Genomic DNA, 9,823 nt, shown 5'->3' on the forward strand with positions numbered 1-9,823 from the left:
GCCTTATTTGTTCGCAAGATCTTGTGATGGTTTCCATGTTATGCACATAAACACCTTGTCAGGCATCAGAGACAGGTTGGAAAGGATGATTGATGGGAGTGGGCTTGTGAAATCACACCTGCTGTCACAGCAGATGGGGAAAAAAGCCGGAGTAACCTGTGGAATTGCTGATTCTTTTTGAAAATTCACTCATAAAAACATAATTTTAGCTCTTTTACATACTTTAGATAGAGCCAGTATCACAAACCAAACTCTAGGGGAGCAACTAATATATGAGTTTGCAGAAGTATAATTTCAATAAAATAGCAAGAAGCCTTCACCAACCAGGTGAACTGGTATTTGAGCACAGGGGTGGTGAAGCAGCTCTTTCTTTGCCAAGCAAAAATATGTCATTCAAGCTGCAATTGCTGGCTGGCTGCCCACTGGGCCTATAAGCATGTCCTCAGTGAATGTTATCCCAATCCATGCATAACTATTGCCTTTGGAGCACAGAATGCATCCTAGAGAGGAAAAAGGATAATATATATATATATATATATATATATATATATATATATATATATATATATATTTTTTTTTTTTTTTTTTTTTTTTTTTTTTTTTTTTTTTTACAGAGCAAACCAATAAACAGAAAATGGGAAACATGGGCTTGTCCCAACAGGGAAGCCATGTGGACCTGAGGAAGTGCTCTGAGATCTCTTTTGACTTTATGCTGTTGTTGGCTCTGCCCTGAACAGCTTAGCAATAGTTATACTAATTTTACCTGATATGCATTTAAAAATTTATTCAACACAACTAGTTACTGAGTTTCCACTATGTCATGGTACTGTTTTATAGGAAGTACAAAGCAATGTGTTTGGGAGGGTAGAACATGCACATCTGCCTAAGTTAAGAAGCAAGGAAAGAGTTTAACAGGACTAGAAGGGAGACCCCAAAGTAGGATATGATCAAATCCAAATGAATCTTTTGAACAGTCAGAGCTGTGTGTATGGAAAAGGAAAAGGCAGATCATCTGAGTAGAAAAGGAAGACTCTCCAGAGAAGCGGGGGATTGATTTGGGCCTTATAGGGTATGGGAGTTACGTTCAAGCTAGGGCATGATAAAAGAGAATAGTTTTACCTACCAGAGTCCAAAGTCTCTGGCAGTTCAGTGAGTCATTTATTCATGAACCCCTTTGTTCATTTGTTCAACAAATACTTATTGAGAATTAATTCTATGACAGGCCTGTTTTGGGCCTAGAGAATACAGTGAATAAACATGACCGATAGATCTCTGCTCTGGTACAGGGAGGTGGAGAATAAAACCAAGTAAAACGAGAAAGTCTCAGATAATGGTGAACATTATGCAGAGAGGTAGAATTGGGTGACAGTGAATGGCTGACTATGGTAGACTTGGTGCTTTCTTTGCTTCTCTGAAGAGGTGACAGATAAGCTCATATCTGAAAGACAAGGGGCAGCCAACCATGCAAAGGTCAGTGGGAAGAGTATTCCCAGCTGTGCAGAGGCCCTGAGATGGGAACACGATTGGCACATTTGAAAAGGCCAGTGTTGCTGGGTGTAGTGGATGACAAGAGAGGTGGAACAAGGTGAGGCTGGGGAGAGAAGATGCCAGATGGTGTAGGAGTTTGCATTTTATTCTAAGTGGGATGGAAGCCCTTTGAAGGTTTAAGCAGAGAAATGATGTATTTGATATGCAGGTACCTCTTTCTTCTGTGTGAGAGTAGATTACAGCAGGAGCAAGCCAGGGCGTGGGGAGGCTGTTACGGTAACTCAGAAGCAAGTTGGCGGCTCCCTGGACTCCACTGGTAGTACTAGAGATGGGGAAGAGTGAATACATTGGGTTATATATGAGGACTTATCAATGGATAAATTGTGGGACATGAGGGAAAGGGAGCTGCCAAAATAGTGATTGAATTGGATCCAGTTATTAGGAGTGTGCTGGTTTCTCTGAAATGCTTAAGGAAGTTCTATAAGAGCATTGAGGATCAATCAATTAGAGGAAACATGCTGTAGAAATAAATGAAGACCAACCAAATAAGACAGCAAAGGCTATTTATTTGGAGTTTGCTATAGTAAGGGAGTCAGATATCATCACTTGTGTTTTGGCAAAGGCTCAATGGCAGAGAGAGGAGGGGGAAGCTTTATAATGGAAAAAAAGGGAAGGCTTCAGGTATGCCCTGATTGGAGGCTGGTGGCATGGGGAAGCTGTGGGTTAACTATTATAGAAGCAGACTATCCTCTGTGATTGGTTAGAGGTGCATATTTTGCTTTCTCTGACTGGGCCTAAGTTGGAAGTGAGGACAAAAATTAGGGAAGCTGTCAGTTATTAATCAAGTCTTGGCCACTTGGGACCAATTGCTATGAAAATTATTGTTTTGCTTCTTGGATTGTCACTGAAGATAGCAGTCTGGCTCCCTGCAAGTCTGATTTATAGCAGTCTGGCTCCCTGGTTGCTTATTGTAGATAAGGGGTTGGTTTCCTGGGTAGCTTGCTGTAGATTGTGGGCCAAAGTTCTGTATTTATGTATTGTCTGGCTAGGGTCTGTATAGTCAATTTCTCAATGCCTTGATAATGCTTGTTTTTATTTCTGAAGTAGGTCATACATTTTGATACATTTTTTCTCTGTGCTCCTCCAAATCCATTTCTCTTCATCTCCTTATTGTTCTCTGTCTTTTTCTTTGCTTCAACCTCAGTTCTGTTGGTGATTACACTTGCCTTCAATAGCTCATACAACAATTACCTCTCCCAGATGACTATTTTATGACAGATGTTCATCGAGCTTCCAATCCTAAAGCTTGAGGTTGACTAATGAAATTTTATGTCTACTTATTCCAATTGTCAATGGAACAGTCTCCAGAGATCAAAGTGTGGTTTATCAATTGATGCGATAAGCAAACTTTGTAACTGGGTCTGAGATAAGGTAGATACAAAAATTGAGAGTAAGTATCAGAAACACTTATAGCAATTTGACAAAATACTTTTATTTCTGTTGAACTTAATATTTAAATTTTAGGCTTATATGCCCCCTTTTACCCCACTTCGTCTTTCCTATAGGTAGATTGGAAATTTAAAAAAAAGCGACAAAACAAAACAAACAAAAAAAGAAGGCCGGGCCTGGTGGGTCATGCCTGTAATCCCAGCACTTTGGGAGGCCGAGGCGGGTAGATCACGAGGTCAGGAGATCGAGACCATCCTGGCTAACACGGTGAAACCCCGCCTCTACTAAAAATACAAAAAATTAGCTGGGCGTGGTGGCGGGCGCCTGTAGTCCCAGCTACTTGGGAGGCTGAGGCAGGAGAATGGCCTGAACCTGGGAGGCGGAGCTTGGAGTGAGCCAAGATCGCGCCACTGCACTCCAGCCTGGGCGACAGAGTGAGACTCCGTCTCAAAACAACAACGACAACAACAACAACAACAACAACAACAGAACTTTCATAACATATAGTTTGAAAAATACTGTGCTAGATTTCTCACAGTTGCCAGCTCTACAACAACCAGAATGAGATGAGAAATGGAGGCAAGCCAACAGTTGAATGCTTATCCATGGGGTCAGAGACAGCGTCTGACCTGAATAAATAAGGGCTGCTCTTCCAGCCTGAAGGCTCCCTCTCCCTGCTTCTCAGAGCAGTTCCTGAGTCAACTGGGGCTATACTGGACTTCTATTTCACCTACTATGCAGATATAGAGCATTTCTATTGCATATGGCCACCTCCTATGAATGGAGAGTAAGGGAGGAAGAGGAGGAGATAACATACCTTCCTTGCATCCTAATCACATTTTTTTCCCCAAACGCTATCTCTCCTTCTTAGGGATTTTGTGCATTTAATAATGGGACTTAGATTCCTTCCTACATTAAAGACATAGAGGAATGGAATATCAAATTCCAGAAAAGGAAATATTAAAATAAACATCTTAATTTTTATTTATTAAAGTTTTTGAGTATACATGAGCACACACATATAGTTTGCAAATATAAAACAGTTTCATTTGGCTTTTTTTGATGATGTTCATTCACTGAGTAGATATAACTTAGATTTTCCTGTTTCCTTATTCCTTTGTCATTACACATTCTGCACTCTTGGTCAGTTCTAATTTAAAATATTCTATCCTATAAATAAATTCACATCTGTCTGATCATGTGCTCTGATTTTTAATTCATAAAATATGGTCAAGGTGTCAATCAGTTGCTATCCCTGCTTACCTCTAGGACTATGATGGCATATCCTAAATGATATCCCCAAATAACACAGCCAATGTGATTTTTGTAGTCCTGTAAGTCAGTGTTTTAGATTCAGTTTCCTCATTTTGTTTCCATCCAACTGGTGGTTTTGTCTAGCTATGTTTCAGAAGGCACACCATAGTAGGACCCTCTGAATCCTGAATCCATTTTTTGTTTGTTTTTGTTTTTTGAGACAGAGTCTCAGTCCATCACCCAGGCTGGAGTGCAGTGGCATGATCTCCACTGACTGCAACCTTGGCCTCCTAGGTTCAGGCGATCCTCCTGCCTCAGCCCCCCAAGTAGCTGGAATTACAACCGTGTACCACCATGCCCGGCTAATTTTTGTATTTTTAGTAGAGACGGGGTTTTACCATGTTGGCCAGGCTGGTCTTGAACTCCTGACCTCAAGTAGTCCACCCACCTCGGCCTCCCAAAGGCTAGGATTACAAGTGTGAGCCACTGCAGGTGCCCTGAATCCTGAATCCATTAAGCTTTCTGTCCTCAACATCTCAAAGATGTGTTGAGCATGCCGACTTTTCTGATCTTACACAAATGTGGTACATTCTGTCATTAGTTTTTCATGTGATGAACTTGGACTTGCTACCCGCCTTTTTCTGTTACTCTGAAGGCAAGTGTGCTGTATTGTCTTGCATCCCTTCCTACCATTGCTTCCTTCCATGGGAAAGACTGACATGGTCTTGGGCATCTTGCAAAGATTTTTTTTTTTTTTTGAAACCACTTAAGTAAAACAAAGTCTCCTGCTGTCAAGTCATTTGTTACTAATGTTCAGAGAAAATTCTGCTTTTCTTAGTCATCAACAGTGAAGGAGAAACAACTTTCTCCAGACTTACGGGAAGCTTGTCTGCTCTCAATTCATAGGAAATTCCCCCAGGCAGGTATCTTCAATCAGCTCTAATCTACTCATCAGTGATTTTCTTTCAAAAGGAACCACTTGAGGCTGAGCCAGAGGCTTATCAAGTACTTTAGGCCTTTTGGGGAACAGGGAGGAATAGAATAAAGGTGGATGAAGATGGGAGCCATGGAGGAGCTTATAAATCTGCTACTAAATACCAGTAAAACATTTTCTTGAGGTAGAGTACCTGAATTCTAAGGAGAAGAGTGTGATTTCCTGTAAGTTATTTTTGTTTAGTTTTTGTCTCATTTTCAACAACTGGGAGATACTTAAAAGAATCTCCATAAAATGAAGACTAGGTACATTCAGCCCTAGTCTAGGTAAGGGATGTCTGGCTGATATTGTACTGATTCACTATGCATAGCCAAGGATGATTGACATACCCTGGAAAAAGTGTGAATATCAAAATGAGAAAATGTTAAATGTCTGAAATCACATAGTAAAATGTATAAAATTATGAAAATATTTCCATTATTCACAATTTAGCTAAGCAAAGCAACTAAGTTCCATAGTACTCTTTATTATTTATGTAATAACAGAAGATGGCAAATAGAGAGAATAAGACATAAATTGACTTTTAAACGTTATTGGCCTTGTGACTGAACATCTATATAGTTTTATTTTCAGGTTTAAAGTTCATTCAAAGTGGGGAGGGGTAGCCAGTATATTGCCATTTTGAATAGTGCAATTAGGATACCAAAGGGTTAAATATAAAGCATTTATATTTATAATATTATAAGACTTTAAACTTATAAAATATCTTACTTACATATAAAACACCCATTTACATAAGAAGAAGTTGGGGAGATCCGGCTTGACAATACTGTGGGACTAAGACTTGGGCAGAGAATGGTTGATTGGATCACAAGCTTAAAAGGAGCAATCTGGTTAAAATATAGGAGACATCCACAAAACTTCAAAGCTGTGCAACTTTAGGCTGTATAAACAAAAGTATACAGAACCAGGGAAGGAATATACCTGTTGTACTCTAGACTCTCTAGGTAACCTTTGGAATACCTTTGTGCAACAAGAGCACATTTTGAGCAGGATGGCCATGTTGGCAGAGGGATTGCTATCCGTAACATAGGAACTGTTTTTGTTGTTCACTTGGCCTAGTAATTTCCTATTCATGTTGTTTGTATCAGTAGTCACTTCTTTTTAATGCTAAGTAGTATCCCATTATTTATCAATTTCCAGTTTTTGGTTATTACAAATAAAGCAGCTATGAACATACATACACAAATCTTTGTATGGATATATGCTTCTTTTTATTTTACTTTATTTCTACTTTTTCATTTTTATTTTTTTAGAGACGGGGTCTCACTCTGTCACCCAGGCTGGAGTGCAATGGCATGATCATAGCTCACTGAAGCCTGCAGTTCCTGGGCTCAAACAATCCTCCTGCCTCAGCCTACCTAGTAGCTGGGACCACATGCTCACATCACCATGCCTGGTGGGATTTATGCTTCTTTTCTTGTGAATAAATACTAAGGCATGGAATGACTGGGTCCTGTGATAGGTATAAACCAGTACCACACAGTTTTCTAAAGTGGCTGTACTATTTTACATTTCCACCAACAATGCATAAATGTTCCAGCTCTACATCCTTACTGAACCTTGTATGGCCAGTCATTTAAATTTTAGTCATACTAATAGATATGACCTGAGGTCTAGTGGTTTTAACTTGCGTTTCTCTAATGAATAACGATGCTGGGCATCTTTTCTTGTGCTTGTTTACCATCTCCATATCTTTGTGTTAGTGTAGTATCTATTCAAATCCTTCCCCCATTTTATATTGGATGTTTGTTTTCTTATTATTGAGTTTTGAGAGTCCATTATACGTTCTAAATACAAGTCTTTTATCTAATATATGCTTTGTAAATATATTTTTCCCAGTCTATGTCTGTCTTTTTATGCACCTAATAGTCTTTTTTAAATTTATTTTTATTTTTTTCTTTTTTTCTTTTTTTTTTATTATACTTTAAGTTTTAGGGTACATGTGCACATTGTGCAGGTTAGTTACATATGTATACATGTGCTATGCTGGTGCGCTGCACCCACTAACTTGTCTAATAGTCTTTTATTTACTTTTTCCTTTTTTTTTTTTAAGTCAAGATCTTGCTCTGTTGTCCAGGTGGAGTGCAGTGGCATGATCGTAACTCACTGTAACTTCAAACTCCTTGGTTTCAGCGATCCCCCGGCCTAAGCATCCTGAGTGTCTAGGACTATAGGTGCACTTGGCTAATTAAAAAAATTTTTTTTTTTTTTTTTTTTTTTTGTAGAGAAGAGGTCTCGCCATGTTGCCCAGGCTGGTCTTGAACTCCTGGCCTCAAACAATCTCCCCACCTCAGACTCCCAAAATGCTGGGATTACAAGCATAAGACACTGCATCTGGCCAATAGTGTCTTCTAAAGGGCATAAGTATTAAATTTTGATAGAGTACAATTTACTAATACTTTCCATTTAATGGATTGTGTTTTGATGTCTCATATAAGAAATCTTTGCCTAACCCAAGGTCACAAAGATTTTCTTCTAAAAGTTTAGTATTATCAGGTTTTAATCTTAAATTTATTATTTCTTTTGAGTTTGTTTTTGTTTATAGTACAAGACATGGGTTGAAGTTCATATTTTGCATAATAATTTTCATGTTTTCTACCAACTTTTGTTGGCAAAGTTATTCTTTCACCATTGAATTGCCTTTGCAACTTCATCGAAAATGAGTGTCCATATCTATCTAGGTATATTTCTGGACTCCTCTTTTGTTCTATTAATATATTTGTCTATCTTGACACCAATACCAAACAGTCTTGTTTACTGTGGCTATATATGTCTTCAAGTCAGGTGATGTTAGACCTCTCTAACTTTGTTCTTGTTTTTCAAATTTGTCAGGCTATTCTCGTTCCTTAATATTTCCATATGAACTTTAAAACCAGCTTCTTATTTTCTACCAAAAAGTCTGCAGAGATTTTGATTGGGATTGCATTTATTCTACAGATCAAGTTATATAGATCTTCTATATAAATCTATATTGAATCTTTTAACACATAAACAAAAGTAAATCTATTTATTTAGGTCTCAGTTTTTCTCAGCAATATTTTTTAGGTTTTAGGGTACAGGTCTTTTATATCTTTTGTCAGATGTATCTTTAAGAAAATGTCTTATTCTTAATGCTATTATAAATGATATTGTTTCATAATTTCTGTGTTTTTTTTTTTCCTTTTTTGGAGATGGAGTCTCACTCTGTCACCCAGGCTGGAGTGCAGTGGTGCAATCATGGGGCACTGCAGCCTCAGCCTCCTGGGTTCAAGTAATCCTCCCGCCTCACCTGGTCTCGAAGTCCTGAGGTCAAGCTATCTGCCCACCTCAGCCTCCCAAAGTGCTGGGATTACAGGTGTGAGCCACTACACTCAGCCTGGTTTATAATTTCAATTTCCAATTGCTTGTTGCTATTATATAGAAATACAATTGCTTTTTATAGATTGATTTCGTATTCTGCACCTTACTTATTTAGTTCTAGTAGGATTTTTTTTGGGTAGATTTTTTGGTGTAGATTTTATACATAGATTACCATGTTATCTGAAAATTATGACAGTTTTATTTCTTTCTAATTGGCTAGCTTTTATTTCCCAATCTGTCTATAGCTATAGATACATAGGTATCTATAGATAAATAAATACACACACACCGCTACACTTAATTTACAAAACATATAAATATGTTTTTGTTTTTTTAGAGGCAAGGTCTTGCTCTGTTGCCCAGGTTGGAATATAGTGGCATGATCATACCTCATTGCAGCCTTGAACTCCTGGGCTCAAGTGATCCTCCCACCTCAGCCTCTCAAGTAGCTAGGACTATACAGGTGCATACCACAATGCCAAGCTAATTTTAAAAATATATATTTTTGTAAATACAGTGTCTCATTATGTTGCCTAAGCTGGCTTGAGCTCCTGGCCTCAAGGGATACACTCACTTCAACCTCCCAAAGCATGGGGATTATTGGTGTGAACCACTATGCCTAGCAAAAAATTATACCTGTTATATAGAATTTAAAAATTCTTACTGTTTCATTTTGGATAGTTTTTGTTTTCATGTGAAATTCACTAATTTTTTCTTCCATGATGTCTAACATGCCATTAATTCCATCCAACAACATTTTCATCTCCCATATTGTCTTGGTCCATTCTGTGCTGCTATGACAGAATACCTGAGACTGGATAATTTATAATGAACAGAAATTTATTTGGCTCACAGTTCTGGAGTCCGGGAAGTCCAAGAGTGTGGCACAGACATCTGGCAAAGACCTTTGTGCTGTGTCATCTCATGGCGGAAGGCAGAAGAGCAAGAAAGGGTGAGAGCAAGAGGAGGTTGAACTTGCTTTTATAATGAAGCCACTTTCAAAATAGCTAACCCACTCTGGTGATAGAAACATTAATCCATTCATGAGGACAGAGCCCTTATGACCTAATCAGCCCTTAAAGTCCCACCTCTCAACACTGTTGCATTGGGGATTAAATTTCCAACACACAAACTTTGGGGGACACATTCAAACCATAGCATATATCATGATTTTTATGTCTAAAAATTCAATGTGTTTTTTTTCTTTTGCATGCCTCTACATAACTTTTTAAATATAAAGAATACAGTAACAATAATGATGTCAATATCCTTACCTGCCTATTTAATATCTGTGTC

The 9,823-nt window shown here is 38.3% G+C and overlaps 1 protein-coding gene across 1 annotated transcript in view; it reads right to left on the minus strand.

Annotated features, from left to right (window-relative positions):
* Nucleotides 1–9,515, minus strand: part of DRD3 (dopamine receptor D3) — a 71,828-nt gene extending 62,313 nt beyond the window's left edge. The window contains 1 exon segment of the mRNA NM_001282563.2: nt 9,381–9,515. The gene's annotated coding sequence lies outside the window, so the exon portion shown is untranslated.

Source organism: Homo sapiens, chromosome 3 (assembly GCF_000001405.40).
Source record: "Homo sapiens chromosome 3, GRCh38.p14 Primary Assembly".
In the NCBI taxonomy this organism is placed as follows: Eukaryota; Metazoa; Chordata; class Mammalia; order Primates; family Hominidae; genus Homo; species Homo sapiens.